Below are 25,134 nucleotides of genomic sequence, written 5' to 3'. Positions count from 1 at the left end.
GAGATTGTAATGTATCACTGGACCCAGCACCTAGGTTACATGACTTTCCTCTTTTGACTGAGTCTTGCATAAATTGTGTATTGTGACAAATAACTGAGTCTAAAAGCTAGGTGATGAGACTCTTCTGAATGGACCCTGTCTACAGGGGTATTATGACATATCTTTTTTTATACTGCCTAGGTGATGTGACTTTGTGTGTGTGTGTGTCCCGGCCCTGCCAAAAGTGGGGATCGTAACATATCACTAAACTTAGCACCAAGGTGTTATGACTCTCCTTGTTTGCCTGGGCCCTGCATATATTTGGTAATATGACGTATGGCTGAGACAAACACCTAGGGCATGAGAACCTCCCGCCTGGGTCCTGGCCACAAGGAGTCTTTTGGCTTATCTCTGCATCCATCAACCAGGAGATGTGACTCTTCTTTTCTGTCTGGGTTCTACAAAAACAAGTGATTGTGACATATTATCAAACCCAGCAACTAGATGATGTGATTTTTCTTCCCTGCTTGAACTCTGGATATGCTGTGTATTGTGATATATGGCTGGGTCCAACATTAAGGTAATGTGACTCTCCTGAATGGTCTCTGCCCACAGGAATATTATGACATATCTTTACATTTAACACCTTGGTTACGTGAATCTTTTTATCTCCCCTCTTGAATTAGGGATTGTGATATATCGCTGAACCTAGCACCTAGGTGATGTGACTTTGTTTTATTGCCTGTGTCCTGCATTTTTTAAGTATTGTGACATGTCCCTGGCCACAACATCTAAAGAATTGGGAGGTACCTGCTTGTACTCTGCCTACGGGCGGGGGGGGGGGGGGCATTGTGACATATCTCTGGGCCCATCAACTGCTTCATTTGACTCTCCTCTCCTACCCATGCTTTGTCAATAGGAGAGATTGTGACATATCTCTGGAACCAGAACCTTAGTGATGTGACGCTTCTCTCCTGCTGAAGCCATGCCCACACAAGGGAAAGTGACTTATCACTGGGCCCAGCACACAGGTGATGTAATTCTTCTGCCTGGTTTTTGTACCCAGGAGCCATTGTAATCTATCTCTGGGCCCATCATTTAAATGATGTGACTGTCATTTTCTTCCTGAGCCCTATTCACAGGGAAAATAATGACACATCTGTGGGGTTCTCACCGAAATGATGTGACTCTCCTGCCTGGGCTCACCTCTCAAGGGAATTGTGACATATTACTGGGCCAGCCACCTAGGTGATGTGGCTCTGACAAAGGAGAAATTGTGATGTACCACTGTTCCACACCTAAGAGATTTGACTCTCATCTTTTCATGAGCCCTGCATTTATTGTGTATTGTGACATATGGCTTGATCCAACACCTTGGTGATGTGACTCTCTACTTCTTCCTGAGCTATGCCAAAAAAGAAGATTGTGACATATCACTGGATCCAGTACCTAGATGATGTAAATCTTTTCTTTTGCTGAGCCATGCATATTTTTGGTATTGTGACATGTCGCTGGACCCAACACCTACAGGATTGGATCAGAGGCTACTGAATAAGCCCTGCCCATAGGCGGCCTTGTGACATATGTCTGCATCTATCGCCTAAGTGATGTGACTCTTTTTCTGCCTGCAGCCTGCACATAGAGAAGATTGTGACATATAGCTCTGCCCAGTAACCAGGTGATGTGTCTTTTCTGGCAGGTCTTTTCCCACAGGGAGCATTGTGAAACATCACTGGGCTCAGCCACCAGGTTATGTGACTCTTCTGCCTGTGCCCTGCTTCCAGAAAATATTGTGACATTCCTCATACAGCATCCAGGTGATGTGACTCTTCTGCTCATTTTCTACTTACAGGTGAGATTGTGACAAATATCCTGGCCCAACTCATAGGTGCTATGATGATACCTGGAATCAGCCAATAGGGGAGATAGTGTCTCTTGTAGTGTAGATTAGGAAACAAGACCCTGGGCCTTCTCTTTGTATGAATGTCATAATGAATTACCAATCTTTAGTGTGTTCTATAAACTTTTGGGTGCCACAAAGAGTGTCTTCACAGGGCTTAGCACACAGGTGAGATTGTTTCTACAATGCACAAACTGCCAACTGTTATGATTGTCACCCTCACACATGGCAACAGCCAACTGTTGAGGTCCTGAATCTTACAGGTGGATATGGTTCAAAGTTGGAATTGTTACTGTCATATATTAACATCCGGCAACAATTAAGGTGGTGACTCATTAATAAATCCAGTGCGCAGGTGGGTGACGACTCTCCAGTCTAGACCCTGCTGACTAGAGAGTGAGGACTCTCTAATTTGAACCCTGCCAACTATGCTCACACCTGAACTTAGGGTCACAGGTATGACCATGGGTCTATAAAAGCAGAAAGGTCTCAGAGCAGACTGTGACTTTTAGGCACACTGCATAAAGCCCTCAGGCGGTGCAGAATGTGTTCCAACAGAGCCCAGCACACAGGTGAGACTGTGCCACTCATATGCACACCCAGTCAACAGTAAAGATTGTCATTCTGTCTCATGAAACAGCCAGTGATTGAGCTTCTGAATCTCAGACTCGAAGGCAGTCAAAAGTTAGAAAATTGACTATCATACCTGGATCCCATTCACAGGTGGGATGGTGAGTCTCAGATTCAACACAAGTCTGAGGCTGTGACTTCACTAAGGAGAAGCAGGTCACAGGAGGGATTAAGGGTCTCATGGACAGATTATTCTACCACTTAGATTGTGACTCCTTTACTTAGGTCCAACATACATGAGCTGCTGAATTTTTTTTTTTTTTTTTTTTTTTTCTTTAGATGGAGCCTGACTCTTTTTCCCCAGGCTGGAGTGCAGTGGCAGATCTTGGCTCACTGCAACCTCCACCTCCTGGATTCAAGCAATTCTCCTGCCTCAGCCTCCTGAGTAGAGTAGCTGGGATTACAGACACCTGGCACCACACCTGGCTAATTTTTGTATTTTTAGTAGAGACGGAGTTTCACCTCGTTGGCCATCTGAGGTCAAAATCTTGACCTCAGGTGATCTGTCTGCCTTGGCCTCCCAAAGTGCTGGGATTACAGGCGTGAGCCACCATGCCTGGCCGGCTATTGAATCTTACACCTAGAACCTAGACATATATGGGATTGTTAATCACATACCTGGATATTCCTGCAGATATGATTGTGACATAGATTCTGCCCATCACCTGAGTGATTTAACTCTACTCCCTGGGCCCAGCCCACAGCTGAAATTATAAAATTTCATCAAAACCAACAATTAGGTGATGCAGCTGCATACTCCTGCCTTAGCGTTGCCAAAAGGGAACATTGTGACATATTGCTTGGCCTTGCATCCAGGTGATGTGAGTCTCTTCTGCCTTCATGCTGCCCACAGGGGGCACTGTCACATATCACTTGGCACCACATTCAGGTTATGTGAGTCCCCTGCCTGTGCCCTGCCCATATGGGCAATTTTGACATGTTGCTGGGTCCAATACCCAGGTGATGTAACTCTCCTGCCTGGCCCTGCCTACAAGGATTTTTGTGACATATCTATGCACCAATCAACTTTGTGTTTTGATAATCCTCTTCTACCAATTTCTTTTCAAAAGAAGGATTTTGACAAATAATTGGGGCCAGCACCTAGCTGACATTACTCTAATCTTCTTTCAAGGTTCAGTTTGCAGGGGATATTGTGACAAGTCGCTGGGCTAACAGACAGGTGATATTCTTCTGCCTTGGCTCTTCCAAAATAAAGCATTTTTACATAGTGCTGTGCCCAGGACCACAGTGACTGAGTCTCCTGCCTAGACCCTGCCCACAGAAAGATTGTAACATATCTCTAGACCCATCAACTATTTGATGTCTCTTCTTTTACCTTGTCTTTTCCCACAAAAGATATTGTGATATATCTCTGGGCCCAGCACCTAGGTGATGTGACTTCTTCTGCCTGGATCATGCCCATACAAGGGAGAGTAACTTAATACCGGGCCTACTACAGACATGCTGAGATACCTCTGCCTGTTGCTTGCCCACAGGATGCGTATGCCATATTTCTGGACCCATCACCTAGATGATGGGACTCTCCTCTTCTTTCTGGGACCAGTACGCAGTGGGAATTGTGATGCATCGTTTAGCTCAGCAGCTACATGTTGTGACTCTCTTCTCATGAGAACCCTCCCACTTGGATAATTGCAACATATAATGTAGCCTAGTTTCTAGGATACCTGACTCTTCTCTTTTTCCTGAGACTTACACAGAATCGGCAACATCTCTGGGCTTCTGACCTAGGTGAGGTTACACTCCTCCCTGATCTCTCCCTTCAGAGAATATTTTGACATATAGCTAGACCCAACACCTGGGTAATAAGACTCTTCTATCTCTTGGGCTCTGTCCAAGAAGAAATTGGGATGTATTGCTAGGCTCAGTACCTAAGTTATGTGACTCTTCTCTCCTGCATGGGCCCTGCATACATTGTGTGTTTTGACATATCACAGGCTCCAACACCTAGGAAATTGGTGATTTCTACCTGTGGCCTGCCCACGGGAGGCCTTGTGATGTATCTCTGCATCATGACCTAAGAGATATGACCCTTGTTTTTAGCCTCCACTTTGCCCTCAGTGAAAATTGTGACATATCACTGGGCCCAGTAACAAGGTGATGAGTTTGTTTTGCCTGCACCTTGCCCACAGAAAACAGTGGAACATAACCCTTGGCCTAGCACTAAGGTGATATTTCTTTTATCCCTGGTCCCTGGCCTCAAAAATGACTGTGACATAACCCTTTCCCAGCACTCATGTGATGTGACCATCCTGCTCACTCTCTACTGACAAATGGGATTGTAACATACATCTTGGCCTGGCTGACAGGTGCAATAATAACTCTCATAACAGTCACCAGAAGAGATACTGTCTCTTGTAGCTAAGCTTAGAGAAATGGGTAAGATCCTGAGTCTCCTTTTTGTAGAAAGGTCATAGAGAATTTCCACTCCCTCACATACTGTATAAAGCCCTCAGGTGATACAGAGAGTGTCTTCACAGTGCCCAACACACAGGTGAGATTGTTTATATTGTGTGTACACCCCACCAATTATTAGGATTATTGCATTCATGCAAGGACACAGTTTACTGGTGAGGTCTTGAACTTCATACACGGATGCAGTTTACAGTTGGAATTGTGACTGTCATATGTAAACATCCAACCACAATTGAGATGGCGACTCATTTCTAAAGCCATCTCATAGGCAGTTGAGGAATCTCCTATCTGGACCAAGTCAATTAAAGAGATGTTGAGTCTCATACATGAGCTTAGGGCCACGGGTGACAATCATGGGTTCATACTAGCATGGAGGTCTCAGAGCAAATTCTAACTCTCATGCATAGCATATACAGCCCTTGAATGGTAGAGAAAGTGTCCTTACAGCACCCAGCACACAGGTAATATTGTGACACTCTTATGCACAGGTAGCCAATAGCAAATATTGTCATCCTTTCACATGAGCACAGCCCACTGTTGAGGCTCTGAATCTCCCAACCAGAGGCAATGGGAAGTTGAATAATTAACTCTTATATGTGGATCTGATCCATAGGTGGGTTGGTTACTCTCAGACCAAGATTCCTCATGGCTGTGAGGCTGTGGCTTCAATAAGGGGACACAGTCTTCAGAAGGGATTGGGTCTTTTGTGTACAAATTCAGTCCATTGTTGAAACTGTGACTCAGGTACTTAAACCAAACCTACAGAAGGTGTTGACTCTCATACCTGAAACTGGGACATGTGTGGGATTGTTAATTTCATTTCAGGACCTTCCTGCTGGTGTAATTCTGATGTATGCTTCTGCCCAGAATCTGAGCGATTTGACTTCCCAGCCTCGGTCCAGCCCCCAGTAGGGATTATGACGTATCACTTGGCCAAGCACTTAGCTGATGTGACCTATTCTCCTGCCTTGGCTCCGCCCATAGAGGACACTGTGATGCACTGTCAGGCCCTGCACCCAGGTTATGTGATTTCTGCCTGTGCCCTGACCACATTGGCTATTTTGACATATTGCACTGTCCAACACTCAAGTGATGTTACACTTCTTCCTGTGCCCTTCCTGCAGTGGACATTATGAAATATCTCTGTGCCCATCATCCATGTATGTTGACTCTCTTCTGCATGCATTCTGCTCACAGGGGGATTGGGACATATCTGGGCTCAGCACTCTGCTGATGTGATGCTTCTCTCTCTTTTTTTTTTTTTTTTTTTTTTTTTTTTTTTTTTTTTTGAGATGGAGTCTTGCTCCATCACCCAGGCTGGAGTGCAGTGGCACGATCTCGGCTCACTGCAATATCTGCCTCCTGGGTTCAAGAAATTCTTCTGTCTCAGCCTCCTGAGCAGCTGGGACTACAGGCACCTGCCATCACACTTGGTGTATTTTGTATTTTTAGTAGAGACGGGGCTTCACCTTGTTGGTCAGGCTGGTCTCAAACTCCTGATCTCAGGTGATCCACCCTCCTCAGCCCCGCAAAGTGCTGAGATTACAGGCATGAGCCACCGCGCCCGGCCAATGCTTCTCTTTTTCCTATGTTCTGCTCACACAAAAGATAGTGGCCCAGCACAAAAGTGATGTGAGTCTCTTGCCTGGCTCTTGCTCACAGCGGGCATTGTGAAATATCTCTGGGTCCATCAATTATTTGATGTGAGTCTCCTCTGTTACCTGGGCTTTGCCTATGGAAGACATTGTGACATATCACTGGGCCCAGAACCCAGGTGGTTTGATTTGCCTCTTCTGACTGGGCCATGCCAACAGATAAATAAAAAAAAAACTTATCACAGGGTCCAGCACACAGGTGCTGTGGCTCTTCTGCCTGACCCCTGCCCACAGGTGTAATTGCTACATATCTTTGGTCCCAACATGTAGATGGTGTGACTCTTTACTTTATTCTGGGACCTGTACACAGTGGGGACTATGACATATCGCTAGGCCTAGCATTTATGTGATGTGACTCTCCTCTCATGCCTAGGCCCTGCCCACTGGGATGATTATGACATTTATCTGAGTGCAGCCTCCAGGTTATATGACTCTCCTCTTTTCCATGATCCCTACTCATAACATGCATTGTGACCTATGTCAGGTTTTCTCACCTAGGTTATGTGACTTTCTTGTCTTTGCCCTTCCATCAGGGGGCATTGTGATATATTGCTAGGCCCATTATCTGGGTGATGTGACTCTCCTCACCTGCCTGTGCACCACCAAAAGGGGACATTGTGACAAATCCCTGTACCAATTTTCTACATAATGTGCCTCTTCTCTGTTGCAGGAGACATGCCCAAAAAAGGGATTGTGGCATATCTCTGAGCCCAGCACCCAAATGTTGTGACTCTCCTGCCTGAGCTGTGCCTAGAGAAAATATTATAATATGTCACCGGACCCTGCATGCAAGTGATCCAATTCTCCAGTCTGGGCCTTGCCCATAGAGGAGATTGAGACATATTCCAGGTGAAGAATTCAGGTGATGTTACTCTCATTTTTTAACCTTTCCCACAGATAAGATTGTGAAATATGATGTGGTCCAGGACACAGATGAGATTTTTATTCTTGTATGCAATCCCATACAACAGTTACTATTGTCACTATAACACATGGACAAAGACTGCTGTTGAGGTCCTGAGTCTCATGAGTGAATGCAGTCAACAGCTGGAATTGTGACTGTCATATGTATATCTTGCCATAAGTGGGATGGTGATTCATTTCTGGATTCAGCTCACAGAAATGGTGATGACTGTCAAACATGGGCCCAGCCAATAAGAGAGATGTTGACTCTGGTAGCTAGGCTTAGGGGTCTAGGTCTTTTACTTGTAGGAAGGTAACAGAAGATTATGACACTCACACATATTGTATAAAGCTTTTGGGCAATACAGAGTGTCATTACAAGACTGAGCACACAGGTGAGATTGTGACTCTCCTATACACACCTAACCAACAGTTTGAATTGCCACCCTCACATGTAGACTGAGCTTACTGGTGAGGTCCTGAACCTCACACATGAACCTATTCCGCCGGTTGGATGGTGGCAAATTTCTGAACCCAATTCACTTGCACAATAAACCCAGCCAATAGAAGATATGTTGATGCTTGTACTTAGGCTTAGGGCAACAGGTAAGGTTTTGGGTTTTCTACTTGTATAAATGTCACAGAGGATTACTACACTCACTAATATTGTATAATGCCCTCAGGTTGTACAAAAAGTGTCATTACATAACTCAGCAAAATTTGAGATTGTGACTCTCAAATGCACACCCAGCAAACAGTAAGAATTGTCCCCCACATATATGGACAGAACCCACTTGTGAAGTCCTGAAACTCACTTACAGATGCAGTCCACAGTTGGAATTTTTAATGTCATGTGTGGATCCAACCACAGGTGGGAGGGTGACTCATAAAACCCAACTAAGAGGCACAGCAATGACTTTCATACCTGGACCCAGACAATAGGAGAGATGTTGACTTTCATACCTAAGCTTAGGGCAATAGGCAAGATCATGAATTTATACCAGCACTAATGTCTCACAGCAGATGATGACTCTCACCCAAACAATGTAAAGCCCTCGGGGTGGTACAGAGAGTGTCATAAGAGGACCCAGAACAAGCTGAGATTTTAATTCTCATATGCACTTCTAGCGCCTAGTAAAAATTGTCACCCTCCTGCATGGATACAGAAAACTGTTGAGCTTCTGAATCTCACACTCGGATGCAGTCGAAAGTTGGGATTGTAATTGTTTTACTGGATTTTGTCTACAGGTGGATGGTGACTCTAAGACCAGGATTCAACACACCTAGAAGGCTTTGACTCTGATACCAGTCACAGAAGGCTCTGTGACTCTTCTATTTTCTCTAGGTCATGCAAATGGAGGCGGATTTTGACATATCATAAAGCCAACATAATACACAGTCTGCAGGTGGAATTGGGACTCTCATGCATGGATCCAGTTCATCATTGATACTGTGACTCATGTACTTGGATGCAACTCACAGGAGGTGTTGACGCTTTTTACCTGAAGCTGGGACATGTGTGGAATTGTGAATCCTAGCCCTAGATCTTCCCACAGGTATGATTGTGACATATACTTTTGCCTAGCACCTGAGTGATTTTACTTCCCTGCCTGGGCCCAGCTCTCAGAAAAGATTGTGATGTGACTCTCTTGCTTAAGCCCTACCTACAGAGGGTATTGTGAAATTTCACTGGGCCCAGCACTTAGGTCATGTGACTCTTATTTTCAGCCTGGGCCCTGTCCACAAAGTCTTTGTGAGATATCACTGAGCCCAGCATCTCCATGATGTGACTGTACTGCCTGGGCCCTGCCCACAGTAGGTATTGTGAAATACTTCTGAACCCATTACCTAGGTGATGTAACACTCCTCCTTTGCCTGCATTCTGCCACCCCCCAAAAATGAACTGTGACATACCACAGGCCCAAGCACTTAGGTGATATAACTCTCCTCTTCTGCCTGGGCTCTGGCCTCAGGGGAGATTGAAACATTGTACTGAGCCCAGTTTGCAGGTGATGTGACCCTCTATCTTAGGCTCTGCCCATAGGAGGTATCATGATAGATCTCTATGGTCATAATTTAGGTGCTGTGACTCTTCTATTTTCTCTAGGTCATGCAAATGGAGGGGGATTGTTACATATCATAGGGCCAACACAAAAATAATGTAAAACTCCTGCCTGAGCCATGCCCATAGAAGGCATTGTGACATATCACCCGTCACAGCACTCAGGTGATGTAACTCTCTTTCCTGAGCCCCGCCTGCAAGGCATATTTTAACATATCTTTAGCCTAGAATTTAAAATATGTGACTCTCTTAGCTTGTTTCTTTTCCACAGGTGGGATTTTGACATATAACTGCACCCAGCACACAGGTGAAGTATCTCGTATGCTCATCCTGCCAAAAGTTATGAGTGTCACCCTCACACATGGACAGAGACCTCTGGTTAGGTCTTGAATCTTGTACATGGACACAGTCCGCAGTTGGAATGTCATATGTAGATCCAGCCACAGGTGTGATGTTGACCTATTTATAAAGTTAGCTCACAGGCACATTGATAACTCTCATACCTGGATCCAGCCAATAAAAGATATGTTGACTATTATAGCTAGGCTTGAGGAAACTGGTATGGTCCTTGGTCTCCTACCTGTATGAGACTCACAGAAGATTATTACAGTTAATGGAAATTACATGAAGCCCTCTGGCAGTACAAAGTTTTATCACAGGCCCAGCACACAGGTGAGATTGACCCTTTAATACACAAACAAAGCTAACAGTATTGTCACCTTCACATATAAACAGAGCCCACTGGTAAGGTTCTAAATCTCACACATCAAAAAAATTCACCATTGGAATTGTGACTGTGATATGTGAGTCTGCCCATAGGTGGAATGCTGACTCATTTCTGGATTCAGCTTAGAAAAATGGTGATGACTGTTTCACCTGGATTCAGCCAAATGGAGGGATGTTGGTTGACTCTTTTAACTAGGTGTGATAGTTAATACTGAGTGTCAATTTGATTGGATTGAAGGATACGACGTATCAATCTTGGGTGTGTCTGTGAGGGTGTTGCCAAAGGAGATTAACAATTGAGTCAGTGGGCTGGAAAAGGCAGACCCACCCTTAATCTGGATGGGCACAATCTAATCAGCTGCCAGCATGGTTAGAATATAAGCAGGCAGAAAAATGTGAAAAGAGAGATTGGCCTAGTCTCCCAGCCTACATCTTTCTCCTGTGCTGGATGCTTCCTGCCCTTGAACACCAGATTCCAAGTTCTTCATTTTTGGGACTCGGAGTGGCTCTCCTTCATTCTCAGCCTGCAGACAGTCTATTGTGGGATCTTGTGATTGTGTGAGTTAATACTTATGTCCCTCTAGAGAACCCTGACTAATACAGATTTTGGTACCAGGAGTGATTCTAGAGGAAAAGAATATTAAGTATAGAGTTCTTTTTTGATTCTGGGGTTTCTGGAGTTGGCTGCTTAATATGATTAGACCCAAAAATGCTAAAGACTCTACTTCTAATAGTATGGAGAACACTGATAGCCCTTGGGATGAACAGTTTAAGAAGTTATGTAAAATAAATGCATATGACACTATCACTCATGGGAGGCAAGGAGTTTAGTGACTCTATACATAATACCTTTGACCAGCCGGGCGCAGTGGCTCACACCTATAATCCCAGCACTTTGGGAGGCCGAGGCAGGTGGATCAAAAGGTCAGGAGTTCAAGACCAGCCTGGCCAAGATGGTGAAACCCCATCTCTACTAAAAATACAAAAATTAGCTGGGTGTGGTGGCAGGCACCTGTAATCCCAGCTACTCCGGAGGCTGAGGCAGAGAATTGCTTGAACCCGGGAGGCGGAGTTTGCAGTGAACTGAGATCGCACCACTGCCCTCCAGCCTTGGTGACAGAGTGAGAGTCTATCTCAAAACAAAACAAAACAAAAACAACCTTTGACCATATGTGGAGAACAAAGGAACATAATGAAGCTGGTTGTCCTAAGTTCAGTGGACAGAGAGATGATATAAAATGATGAACTCAGGGATTCTATCTTTTGGCTTTAGAAGCAGATACTGAGCCTCAAATCTGCTAAGATCACCCTGAGTGAGAGTCTCATCTCCTGTAGAGAAAGAGCTGAAATTGTGGAAAAACAGACACAAACTGTTATTGTGCTAGTGGCTGATCTGCAACAAAAGGTGTATGGGCAACCTCGCCAGGTGTCTACTATTAAAGTGAGGGCATTTATTGGAAAAGAATGGGACCCTGCCACTTGGAATGGGGATGTGTGGAAGGACCCTGATGAAGCCGGGGTGACTGAGTTTGCAAACTCCGATGAACCTTTTCTGTTAGAAGAAAGAGCTTCCCCATCCCCAGTAGTGGTAACATCCCCTTTCTGATCCCTGCTGCCTTTCCACCTTTGAAATAAACCCTGCACTGCCTGAGGCAACAGTGATGGCCTTCCCTGAGGCAGTTCCCAGGCAAAATAATGTTGATTCTTCTCAGGAGCCAACCTCAACACCCATGTTTGCTTCTTGGCATATAAGTAGACTAAAGTCCCAGTGGACCTTCAGAGGTGAGGTTGAGAGTGTTCCCCATGAGAAGGTGTACTGCACTCAAAAAGAACTGCTTGAGTTTTCTAATTTATATAAATAGAAATTTGGAGAACAGGCTTGGAGATGAATGTTAAGGGTGTGGGATAATGGTGGAAGGAACATAGGGTTGAATCAGGCAGAATTTATTTATTAGGCCCCACTAAATAGGAACACTGCATTTAATGTTGCAGGTTGGGGAGTTAAACAAGTTTCTAATAGTTTCTTTGCTTGGTTAGCTGAAATATGGATTAAAAGATGGCCCACTGGCCGGGTGTGGTGGCTCATGCCTGTAATCCCAGCACTTTGGGAGGCTGAGGCAGGTGGATCACTTGAGGTCAGGAGTTCGAGACCAGCCTGACCAACATGGAGAAACCCTGTCTCTACTAAAAATACAAAATTAGCCGGGTGTGGTGGTGCATGCCTGTAATCCCAGCTACTCGGGAGGCTGAGGCAGGAGAATCGCTTGAACCTAGGAGGTGGAGGTTGCAGTGAGCCGAGATTGTGCCATTGCACTCCAGCCTGGGCAACAAGAGCAAAACTCTGTCTCAAAAAAAAAAAAAAAAAAAAATGATAGCCCACTGTGAGTGAGCTGGAAATGCCTGATGTCCCTTGGTTTAATGTAGAGGGAGAGATCAAAAGGCTTAGGGAGATTGCGATACTGGAGTGGATTAGTCACTTTAGACCTACTAATTCCAGCAGGGAAGGTCCAAAATATATACCCTTGACCATTGCCTTGCAAAATAGATTTGTGAGGGCAGCACCTGAATCTTTGAAGAGCCCTGTAATTGCTCTTCTTTGCATGTCAGGTCCAACAATGGGAACCGCAGTCACTCAGCTAAAAAATGTAAATACAATGGGAATAATTGGATCCCGAGGTGGCAGGGGCCAAGTGGTGGCACTCGACCATCAAAGGCAAGGTGGGCATAGCTACTGTAATGGACAGCAGAGGCAAAATGGCAATCAGAACAGTCTGACTTGTGTAGAGTTCTGGCATTGGCTGATTCATCACGATGTTCCTAGAAGTAAAATTGATAGGAAACCTACTGCATTCCTACTTAATTTATACAAGCAGAAAAATTCTAGGTTGAATGGGCAGAAGACTAATTTGAAATATAAAAACAGAGAATCATGGCCCCTCAATCAATTTCCAGACTTGAGCCAGTTTACAGACCCAGAACCCCTTGAATAAAGGGGAGGCTGGATTCTCTTGAAGAGCAACCCCACTACACTACCAACAATTTATCCAGTGAATCTTTCTCCCATCTTTCCCCAAGTAGATCTCTGGCCTTTTATGGGGGTAACAGTGCACTGGGAAAAGGGAAATGATTGGATATTTTGGGGACTACTAAACACTGGCTCTGAGCTGACATTGATTCCTGGGGACCCAAAACATCACTGTGGTCCTCCAGTTAAAATAGGGGCTTATAGAGGTCAGGTACTTAATAGAGATTTAGCACAGGTCCAACTTAGAGTTGGTCCAGTGAGTCCCAAGACTCATTTTGTGGTCATTTCCCCAGTGCCCGAATGCATAATTGGCATAGACATACTTAGCAGATGGCAGAATTCCCAAATTGGCTTGCTGACTAGTAGGGTGAGGGCTATTATGGTGGGAAAAGCCAAATGGAAGCCATTAGATCTGCCTCTACCTATGAAAATAGTAAATCAAAACCAATATTGTATCCATGGAGGGAGTGCAGAGATTAGTGCCACCATCACGGACTTAAAGGATGCAGAGGCGGTGATTCCTACCACATCCTCATTCAACTCTTTCGTTTGGCCTGTACAGAAGACAGATGGATTTTGGAGAATGACAGTGGATTATTGTAAGCTTAACCAAGTGATGACTCCAGTTGCAGCTGCTGTACCAGATATGGTTTCGTTGCTTGAGCAAATTAACGCATCTCTTTGTACCTGGTATGCAGACATTGACTTAGCAATTGCCCTTTTCTCCATTGCTGTCCATAAGGCCCACCAGAAGCAATTTGCTTTCAGCTGGCAAAGTCGGCAATATACCTTTACTGTTCTACCTCAAGGATATATCAACTCTCTGGCTTTGTGTCATAATCTTATTCAAAGAGACCTCTGTCACTTTTTGCTTTTGCAAATATTACAGTGGTCCATTACATTGATGACATTATGCTGATTGAATCCAATGAGCAAGAAATAGCAAACACACTGGACTTATTTATGAGACATTTACATTCTAGAGGATGGAAAATAAAACTGACTAAAATTTAGGGACCTTCTACCTCAGTAAAATTTCTAGGGGTCCAGTGGTCTAGGGCCTGTCAAGATATTCCTTCTAAGGTAAAAGGTAAGTTGAGATCCAGGGATGGAGTTGTGAAACTCTCCTAAAGCCCAAGATTGAGGTATGTTCTTTTCAGGAGACAGGCTTCTATTAAGGTGGCAAACTACAGGACATCTCTTCTTGGCTACAGACCAAAAAATAGCCAACCCAACTTGCTCCCACTGAGAATTCTGAACTTACCTTATAACCATTCCAAACTCCTCCCAGCCACAGCCTGGGAGAGCTCCTGCTCTTCCAGAGACCTGGAGGAAGATTCCCATTTGTAGCCATACAGTTTAATGTTTTACTTCTAGTTCCAAGCCACAGTTCATGGACAATTCTGCCTTGGTAGAATCCCACACAGTGACCTGGGAAGACCCTCTCTAGTACTCAGTGAAAGGAATCCTCATCCACATCCTGATGTAAGCCCCACCATATGCAGACCTGACTGCAACAACTTCCCCTAGTGTCTGCTCTACAGATGAAAGTCCTGAAGGATATTCAGTCTGTCCAATAATAAAATGGGAATTACAACTACCCAAGCCTTTTTTAACAAGCCAACTAAAGGTAAACCCTATGTAGAACCAGCAGCCTTGTGACCAACCTACCACCTCTGTCTATTACAAATGAAGAGGGCATCCTATAAATATGGGATCTTTACCTCTTGTAACCACTTTATATAAACTTGAAGAGGTTTTCGTTCAATGAAATTTACAAAAACCAATGCAATGCAAAACTATATTGTCCCCATTGTCAATGCTTCCATTTTAACATAACCCTGGAAGTATGTAGCAGAAGAGTTAGGCAAAAAAAAAAATTGTTTAAAGCCACTGAAATTGATGACAAGTAAGTAAAGAGTTGATGTTTGCAGATCATATAATATTATATATTAAAAAAACCATAAATGGTACATTTAAGGCCAGGAGCAGTGGCTCACACCCATAATCCCAACACTCTGGGAGGCCAAGGAGGGCAGATCACCTGAGGTCAGGAGTTCGAAACCAGCCTGGCCAATATGGTAAAACCTTGTTTCTACTAAAAACAGAACAATTAGCCATGCATGGTGGTGGGTGCCTACAGTCCTAGCTACTCAAGAGTCTGAGGCAGAAGAATCACTTGAACCTGGGAGGCAGAAGTTGCAGTGAGCCAAGATCATGCCACTGCATTCCAGCTTGGGCGACAGAGCAAGACTCTGTCTCAAAGAAAAAAATATATTTTAGCCTAAAATATTAACTCTATGCTTCAGAAATACAAATTTTCTTGTTTCACCTAAGTTGTCCCTTAAGAAATGCAATGAGATAGACAACAACACAAAAACAGTGGGAGACTTATACTTTACTTACAGCATTAGACAGGCCATCAGGAGAGAAAGTGAAACAAACAAAAATCAATGGGCTTAAACTATACCTTAGAACAAATGGACTTAACAGATATTTACAGAATATTCCACCCAGCAACTGCAGAATATACATTCTTTTCATCAGCACACAAAACATTCTTCAAGATAGACCATATGATAAGTCACAAGACAAGTCTGAATTTTTTTTTTTTTTTTTTTTTTGTGTGTGTGTGACAGAGTCTTGCTCTGTCACCAAGGCTGGAGTGCAATGGTGCAATTTTAGCTCACAGCAACCTCTGCCTCCCAGGTTCAAGGGATTCTCCTGCCTCAGCCTTCTGGGTAGCTGGGATTACACGCATGTGCCACCATGCGTTCCTAATTTTTGTATTTTTAGTAGAGATGGGGTTTCACCATGTTGGCTAGGCTGGTTTTGAACTTCTGACCTCAGGTTATCTGCCTGCCTTGGCCTCCCAAAGTACTGGGATTAAAGCATGAGCCACCATGCCCAGCCCCTGAATAAATTTAAGAATATCAAAATTTTATCAAGTACTGTCTTAGGCCACAGTGGAATAAAATTAGAAATCAATTCCAATAGGAACACTCAAAACCATACAAATACATGAAAATTAAATAAACTGCTCCTGAATGATTATTGGGTTCACAATGAAATCAAGATGGAAATTAAATAATTCTCTAAACTGAATAATAGTGACACAACATATTAAAACTTCTGGGATACAGCAAAAGCAGTACTAAGAGGAAAGTTCATAGTATGAAATACATACATCAAAAAGTGCAAAAAACCACAATAAACAACCTAAGATTACACCTCAAGGAACAAGAGAAACAAGAACAAACCAAACCCAGCAGAAAAAAAAAATAACAAAGATCAGAGCAGAACTAAATAAAATTGAAATTTAAAAAATATAAAAGATAAAACAATAAGCTAGTCATTTGAAAAGATAAACCAAACTGACAGACTATTAGTGAGATTAACCCAGAAAAGCAGAAGGTCCAAATTTGCTCAATTAGAAATAAAAGATCATTCAAAGCTACTATGAATACCTTTACATGCTCAAACTAGAAAACCTAGAGGAGTTCGATAAATTCCTGAAAATATACAACCCTCCTAAATTAAACCAGGAAGAAATAAAAACCCTGAAGAGACCAATAACAAGTAGCAAGATTAAACTAATAATAAAAAATTGCTGGCTGGGTACAGTGGCTCATGCCTGTAATCCTAGCACTTTGGTAGGATGAGGTGGGTGGATCATTTGAGGTCAGGGGTTTGAGATCAGCCTGATCAACATGGCAAAACCCATCTCTACTTAAAATACAAAAATTAGCCAGGTCACAAGCTGGCCTGTAATCCCAGCTACTTGGGAGGCTGAGTCAGGAGAATCACTTAAACCCAGAAGTTAGAGGTTGCAGTGAGTCAAGATTGCACCATTACATTCCAGCCTGGGTGACAGAGCAAGACTCAAGAAAAAAAAAACAAAAAACAAACTGCCAACAAAAAAAGTCCAGGACAAGGTGGATTCGTAGCTCAATTCTACCTGACATTTAAAGAATTGGGACCAGTCCTACTGAAACTATTCCAAAAGAGAGAGAAAAATGCAATCCTTCCTAAGTCATTCTGTGAAGCCAATATCACTCTAATACCAAGATCAGGAAAAGACATAATAAAAGAAAACTACACACCAATGTTCCTGATGAATGCAAAAATCTTCGATAAAATACTAGCTAACCCAACACAGCAGCATATTAATAAGATAGTACACCATAATCGAGAACATTTTATGCCAGGGATGCAGAGATGATTTAACATAGGTAAGTCAATACATGTTATACATCAAATAAACAGAATTAAAACCAAAAATTATATGATTATCTCAAAATACACAGAAAAATCATTTGGCAAAATCCAGCATCCCTTTACGATTAAAATCCTCAGCAAAATCGGGATAGAGGGAACATATTTTAAGGTCATAAAAGCCATCTATGACAGGCTGGGCGCGGTGGCTTATGCCTGTAATCCCAGCACTTTGGGAGGCCAAGGTGGGCAAATCACCTGAGGTCAGGAGTTTGAGATCAGCCTGGCCAACATGGTGAAACCTGGTCTGTACAAAACTACAAAAGTTAGCCAGGCATGATGGTGGGTGCCTGTTATCCCAGTTACTGGGGAGGCTGAGGCGGGAGAATCGCTTGAGTCCGGGAGGCAGAAATTGCAGTGAGTGGAGATCGTGCCAGTGCACTCCAGCCTGGGCGACAGAGCAAGACTCTGTCTGAAAAAAAGAAAGAAAAAAGAAAAAAAAAGCTGTCTATGATAAACAGCCAACATTACACTGAACGGGAAAAAGTTGAAAGGATTTTTTCTGAGAACTGGAACAAGACAATAATGCCCACTCTCACCGCTTCTATTCAACATAGTAATGGAAGTCTTGGCCAGAGCAATCAGAGTAAAGCAAAAAATAAACAACATTGGTAAAGAGGAAGTCAAATTGTCACTTTTTACCAATGATATAATTGTATAGCTGGGAAACCCTAAATACTCATCTAAAAAGCTTTTAGGGCCAGGTGCAGTGGCTCAAGCCTGTAATCCCAGCACTTGGGGAGGTGGAGGCAGGTGGATCATCTGAGGTCAGGAGTTCAAGACCAGCCTAGCCAACATGGTAAAACCCTGTCTCTACTAAGAATACAAAAATTAGCCAGGCGCAGTGGCAAGAGGCTGTAATTCCAGCTACTAGGGAAGCTGAGACAGGAGAATCACTTGAACCCAGGAGGCAGAGGTTGCAGTGAGCCGAGAGATCATGCTACTGCACTCCAGCCTGGGCAACAGAGTAAGACCTTGTCTCAAAAAGAAAAAAGAAAAAAAGGCTTTTCAATCTGATACATAAATTCAGTAAAATTTCAGGATACAAAATCAATGTGCACAAGTTAGTGGCACTGGTGTACGCTAACAGTGACCAAACTAAGAATTAAATTAAGAACTCAACTCATTTTAAAATAGCTGCAAAAAAAAAAAATAATTAGGAACATGTCTAACCAAGGTGGTGAAAGATCTCTATGAGAAAAACTACAAAATGCTGCTAAAAGAAATCATAGACAACAAAAACAAATGGAAACATATTTCATGCTTATGGATGGGTAGCAATCCTACTGTGACAATGATCAACCTACCAAAAACAATCTACAAATTCAATGTAATTTCCATTAAAATAACATTATCATTCTTCACAGAACTAAAAAAAATCCTAAAATTTATGTAAAATAAAAAGAGAGCTTCCAAAGTCAAAGCAAGACTAAGAAAAAAAAAACCAATAAAACCAAAAACACACACACAAAAATCTGAAGGCATTACATTATATGACTTCAAACTATACTACAAGGCTATAGTTACCAAAACAGCATTGTATGGGTATAAAAATAGACATGTAGACCAATGAAACAGAATAGCGAAACCAGAAATGAACCCAAATATTTACAGCCAACTGATCTTTGACAAAGTAAACAAAGATACAAAGTGGAGAAAGAACACCCAATTCAATAAATGCTGGCATAATTGGGAAGCCACATATTGAAGAATAAAACTGGATCTTCGGCTGGGCACAGTGGCTCATACCTGTTATCCCAGCACTTAGGGAGGTCGAGGTGGGTGGATCACGAGGTCAGGAGTTCAAGACCAGCCTGGCCAAGATGGTGAAACCCCGTCTCTACTAAAACTACAAAAAAAATTTAGCCGGGTGTGGTGGCGGGTGCCTGTAATCCCAGCTACTCGGGAGGCTGAGGCAGATAATTGCTTGAACCCGGGAGGCAGAGATCGTGCCACTGCACCCCAGCCTGGGAACAGAGTGAGACTCCGTCTCAAAAAAAAAAAAAAAAGAATCTTCATCTCTCACCTTATAAAAAAATCAACTCAAGATGGATCAAATACTTTAATCTAAGACCTGAAACCACCCGAATTCTAAAGCATTGGAAAAACTCTTCCAGACATTGACTTGGGCAAAGAGTGCACGAACAAGAACCCCAAAGCAAATGCAACAAAAACAAAGACAGATGGGACTTAAACAATTCTCAAAAGAAGATATACAAATAGCCAACATAGAAAAAAAATGCTGAATATCACTAATGATTAATGATCAGGGAAATGCAAATCAAAACCACAACGTGATACCACCTTACTCTCGCAAGAATGACCATAATTGGCTGGTCATGGTGGCTCATGCCTGTAATCCCAGCACTTTGGGAGACCGAGACTGGTGGATCACCTGAGGTCAGGAGTTCCAGACCAGCTTGGCCAACATGGTAAAACCCCGCCTCTACTAAAAATACAAAAATTAGCAGGGCACGATGGCATGGGTCTGTAATCCCTGCTACTCGGGAGGCTGAGGCTGGAGAATCGCTTGAACCCAGGAGGCGGAGGTTGCAGTGAGCCGAGATCGACAGAGCGAGACTCCATCAAAAACAAACAAACAAACAAACAGAAAAGACCATAATCAAAACATCAAAAACTAGGCCAGGCATGGTGGCTCATGCCTGTAATTACAGCAAACTCCGTCTCAAAAAAAAAAGAAAAGAAAAGAAAAAAAGAGATAAAACCCCAAATATTGTATGTCCTCACTTATAAGTGGGAGCTAAGCTATGAAGATGCAAAGGCATAAAAATTACAAAATGGGGCCAGGCGCGGTGGCTCACGCTTGTAATCTCAGCACTTTGGGAGGCCGAGGCAAGTGAAACTCTGTCTCAAAAAAAAAAAAATTAAAAATTAAAAAGAATTACATAATGGACTCTGGGCACTCAGTGGGAAGGGTGGGAGAGGGGATGAGGGATGAAAGAGTACACATTGGGTACAGCGCACTCTACTTGGGAGATTGGTGCACCGAAATCTCAGAAATCACCACAAAAGAACTTATCCATGTAACCAAATACTACCTGTACCCCAAAACTATTGAAATATAATAATTTAAGACAAAAATAAAACCCCCAAACTCTCATAAGTTTAAGTTTATATGCTTTGGCTTTTTTTTTTTTTTTTTTTTAGAAAGGGTCTCACTCTGTCACCCAGAATGGAGTGCAGTGGCTTGATCAGGGCTCACTGCAGACACAACCTCCTGGGCTCAGGCAATCCTCCTACTTCAGCCCCTGAATAGCTGCTACTACAGGTTCAGGCCACCATGCTAAATTAGCTGGGTGTGGTGGAGGGCGCCTGTAATCCAGCTACTCGGGAGGCTGAGGCAGGAGAATCGCTTGAACCCAAGAGGGGGAGGTTGCAGTGAGCTGAGATCATGCCATTGCACTGTAGCCTGGCCAGCAGAGCAAGACTCTCAAATAAAATAAAATAAAGGTTGTTTCAAGTTAAAAAAAAAAGTCTAATAAAATCGAAAGAGTTAAAAAATTATAAGCGTTTATAAGGCCGGGCGCCGTGGCTCAAGCCTGTAATCCCAGCACTTTGGGAAGCCAAGGTGGGCGGATTGCCTGTCAGTAGTTTCAGACCAGCCTGGCCTCAACGTGGTGAAACCCTGTCTCTACTAAAAAAACAAAAATTAGCAGGGCGTGGTGGCGGGCGCCTGTAATCCCAGCTTCTGGGGAGGCTGAGGGAGGAGAATTACTTGCACCCGGGAGGCGGAGCTTTCAGTTAGCCGAGATCCTGCCACTGCACTCCAGCCTGGGCGGCAGAGGGAGACTGTCTCAAAAAGATAAACAAATAAAAAAAAGAGATTATAAAATATATATGAAAATCTAGAGCGTTCAAAAATGACAAATTTGATGGATTTATTTATAAGATTTTACTAAAATTAGGGTTTTTTGTTTTGTTTTTTGAGATGGCGTTTCACTCTTGTTGCCCAGGCTGGAGTGCAATGGCCCGATCTCGGCTCACTGCAACCTCCACCTCCTGGGTTCAAATGATTCTCCTGCTTCAGCCTCCTGAGTAGCTGGGATTGCAGGCGCCCACCACCACGCCCAACTAATTTTTGTATTTTTAGTAGAGAAGGAGTTTCACCAGGTCGACCAGGCTAGTCTTGAACTTCTGACCTCAGGTGATCCCCCCGCCTCCGCCTCCCAAACCGATGGGATTAAAGGCGTAAGCCATCACGCCCGGCCTTTGCGGCAGACTGGGCTGGCACTCTTTCTTCAGTCAGCCCAGCATCTGATAACATCTTCCGTCACTCAGGGCCTGAAGGGGCGGGGCCTTAAACATTATCCAATCAGGGACGCTGGACTGGGACCGTCCAATCAGGCACGCAGCTGGAGCGGACAGGGCGGCTTCCGGGATGTGGTAGGACCGTTGGCTCTCGCTGCACGCGGAGGTCAAGGTGTCGTCCTTACTGCTGTGTGTCGTCCGCTCCTAAAGGCCCAGCTTCTATGGCCCTGTGACCTGCAGGTATTGGGAGATTCACAACTAAGTCGCCAGGACCCCCGGAAGCCTAGAAATGGTGAGTCAGCCGGGTCCGACATCCCGAGAGAGTGGCAGCCGCTGGTTGGAACCGGTGGGAAGTGGCTGTGGCGGGACTCAGGCCTCCTCTCAGTCAGCTCCACAATCTGTGCCCCGTGTTCTCCTTGCCTAGCTCGACCTCAGTCCGCTTCAGGCATAAGATGGCGGCTGCGCTGACACCCGGTCCCCGGGCGTCCTGTCTTTTCCCTGCGCTGTGATTGTGCCCTGGCCTGGAGCCCTCTTGGGGCCGCTCTGCACCCGCAGCGCGGAGTCTCTCTCAGATGTGCAGGGAGCATGGGAGGGTCGTCACAGGAGAATCCTGACTCGGCGTGTGGGTTCAAGAATGGAAAGAGCTTTGGTCCGTGAGGTTCCCAGCCCCTGTTTTCTCCTATTAAAAATTTGCAGAAGTCACCGCACAAATATTAAATAATTTAACCAAAGAGTGATTCCAAAATTGTAGAGCACCCAGCTATGGGTTGTAGTTTATGGTCTATTGAAGAGGTTTGACGGAAGAGTTTTATAAGGTGCCTAATGAAGAAAACCAAATTCGATAATTGGTTAGGTACAGTTACGTAGTTTCTTAATTCGTACTATCAAGATGGAAATTTCTTGGTTATGTAATCAGAGGTTAATTGGCAGTTTATAGTTTGTTAAGCCTGAATTTTTTCCCCCAATATAGTAATTTACAAAAAATGCATTTGAATTAGTTTTTTTGAGACAAAGTCTCACTCTGTCGCCCTGGCTGGAGTGCAATGGCGCCGTCTGGGCTCACTGCAATCTCCGCCTCCCAGGTTCAAGCGATTCTCCTGCCTTAGCCTCTCAGGTAGCTGGGATTGCAGGCATGCGCCACCACGCCCCGTTAACTTTGTATTTTTAATAGCGATGGGGTTTCACCATGTTGGTCAGGCTGGTCTTGAACTCCTGATTTCAAGTGATCCACCTGCCTCGGCCTCCCAAAGTGCTGGGATTACAAGTGTAAGCCACCGCGCCTGGCCGAATTAGATTTTTTAAAAGTAGAAATTAGGAACTACAGCCTCCTCAGTCTAACTGCCAGCCACTTAATTATTTTCACACCCCACAGGGAACTGCTGTTTCCTTGCATTTTTCACATGTGTCCCAAGTAGGGCCTCAAGTCCATCCCCCATCCCCTATTTCTCCGGCCTGACTCTGGCTTGCAGTAAAATACTTGATTTTCACTTCCTTCTGACATTCCCAAATGCCAATTTCCCCTCCCTTATTCATATTATCAACAAATAGTTTAGTGTACATTTTGATACCTATTTTAATCATTTTTTGACAAAGCATTTGATGGCACATTTAAAAAGATTTGTTTTCTGTTTGTAAATATTTTTTCTTCTGTTTTCCGTAGACACAGATATCACAATGTTTTTGGGTCAAGATTTCCCTTTGGAAACTTTATAGGGAGATGTGTCCTCAGCCACCCTTCAGTTTTTTCTTGGACTTGAGATTCAGTACTGTCTGGGGAAAAACCAAGATACCCGCCATGGCTATGTCTGTGAGAGTGTCTAGTGAATATCAGCTCCTGGGTCTTTTTCTCCCATAAGACAACCTGAGGTATGGAGTGTAGCCTCTGATCTCCCATAAGACAACCTGAGATATGAAGCGTAGCTTCTCAAGAGAGCAGGTGAATGCACTGTGGCTGAGTCATCTTCTGGTGTGCTGTTTTTTTGGAAAGCTACTCCCTTGAGATATTAATATTGTCTTTACCCAACCCAGCTTCCATTTCTTGGAGACACATTGCTGTTCAGACAATCAGATGCTGGTATTGAAGGGGAAACCAAAATAATTTTTGCCCCTGCATTCTCTTAGGGGACAGAAAAATAGTGAAATAAAAATGGTAAAAGGTTTGTGAAATAAAATAGCACTCCAAAGACAAAAACAACTGACCCCAGTGAGATGGTGCAAAAACTTGCAAAGTAAAATATACCTGGGGCACTCTGGGGCATAGTTCAGAGTCTCCTGAGAGAATGATTATTGAGCACTTAAGTGAACAGGATGGGGTGGGAGAATCTCTCAAGTAATTGGATGGCCTGACTTGACACATGAGTCAGACATATCCGTACCTTGACATGATTAAATGCATTGTTCACTTATTTTGACCTCAGGGTTTTTTTTTTTTTGGTTTTTTTTTTTTTTTTTTTTGACAGTGTTTTCCTCTGTCGCCCAGGCTGTAGTGCAGTGGTGCAATCTTGGCTCACTGCAACCTCTGCATCACGAGTTCAAGTGATTCTCATGCCTCAGCCTCCCAAGTAGGTGGGACTACAGGTGCCCACCACCACACCTGGCTACTTTTTGTATTTTTAGTAGAGATGGGGGTTTGCCATGTTGACCAGGCTGTTTGAGCTGAAAATTCTGACCTCAAGTAATCTGCCCACCTTGGCCTCCCAAAGTGCTGGGATTGCAGGTGTGAGCCACTGTGCCCGGCTGACCTCAGTTTTTTAACTGTAAATTGCATTTTATTAGTAGGGCTTGAAAGGTAAGAAAATATTTACAAAGAGCATAAAAAGGTGAGTTTCAGAAAATAATATCTGTATATTTTATTTGTTGAAAATTCTCATTCACCTTTTTCTTTCTCAGAGTGAATTTAGGAGTTTTCTCTGGTGTTTTTTTTTTTGTTTTTTTGTTTTTTTGAGGCAGAGTCTTGCTCTGTCACCCAGGCTGGAGTGCAATGGTGGGATCTCGGCTCACTGCAAGCTCTGTCTCCAGGGTTTACGCCATTCTCCTGCTTCAGTCTCCCGAGTAGCTGGGACTACAGGCGCCCGCCACCACACCCAGCTAATTTTTTTGTATTTTTAGTAGAGACGGGGTTTCGCCATATTAGCCATGTTAGCCAGGGTGGTCTCGATCTCCTGACCTCATGATCCACCTGCCTTGGCCCCACAAAGTGCTGGGATTACAGGCGTAAGCCACCATGCCTGGCCTTCAGGTGTGTTTTTTATGGCTGAATGATTTCAAACAGAATTCC

At 43.8% G+C, this 25,134-nt stretch overlaps 1 protein-coding gene and 1 long non-coding RNA gene across 3 annotated transcripts in view; both read left to right on the top strand.

The window, feature by feature from the left end:
- The first annotated feature begins 1,479 nt into the window (after positions 1-1,479).
- On the top strand, positions 1,480-10,102 carry LINC01859 (long intergenic non-protein coding RNA 1859). The gene is made up of 4 exons (NR_110746.1): positions 1,480-1,831; positions 7,268-7,459; positions 8,846-9,056; positions 9,834-10,102. It is a non-coding gene; the product is annotated as a long intergenic non-protein coding RNA 1859 (long non-coding RNA).
- Positions 10,103-22,000: 11,898 nt separating this feature from the next.
- Positions 22,001-25,134, top strand: part of ZNF728 (zinc finger protein 728) — a 28,294-nt gene continuing 25,160 nt past the window's right edge. For both annotated transcript variants that reach the window (NM_001267716.2, XM_047438797.1), the window contains exon 1: positions 22,001-22,149. In NM_001267716.2, coding sequence (NP_001254645.1) covers positions 22,147-22,149 — 3 coding nt within the window. In that variant the 5' untranslated portion in view covers positions 22,001-22,146. The remainder of the gene's footprint in view (positions 22,150-25,134) is intronic.

This window comes from Homo sapiens, chromosome 19, assembly GCF_000001405.40.
Source record: "Homo sapiens chromosome 19, GRCh38.p14 Primary Assembly".
Lineage (NCBI taxonomy): Eukaryota > Metazoa > Chordata > Mammalia > Primates > Hominidae > Homo > Homo sapiens.
This window is presented reverse-complemented; position numbering and strand designations above follow the sequence as displayed.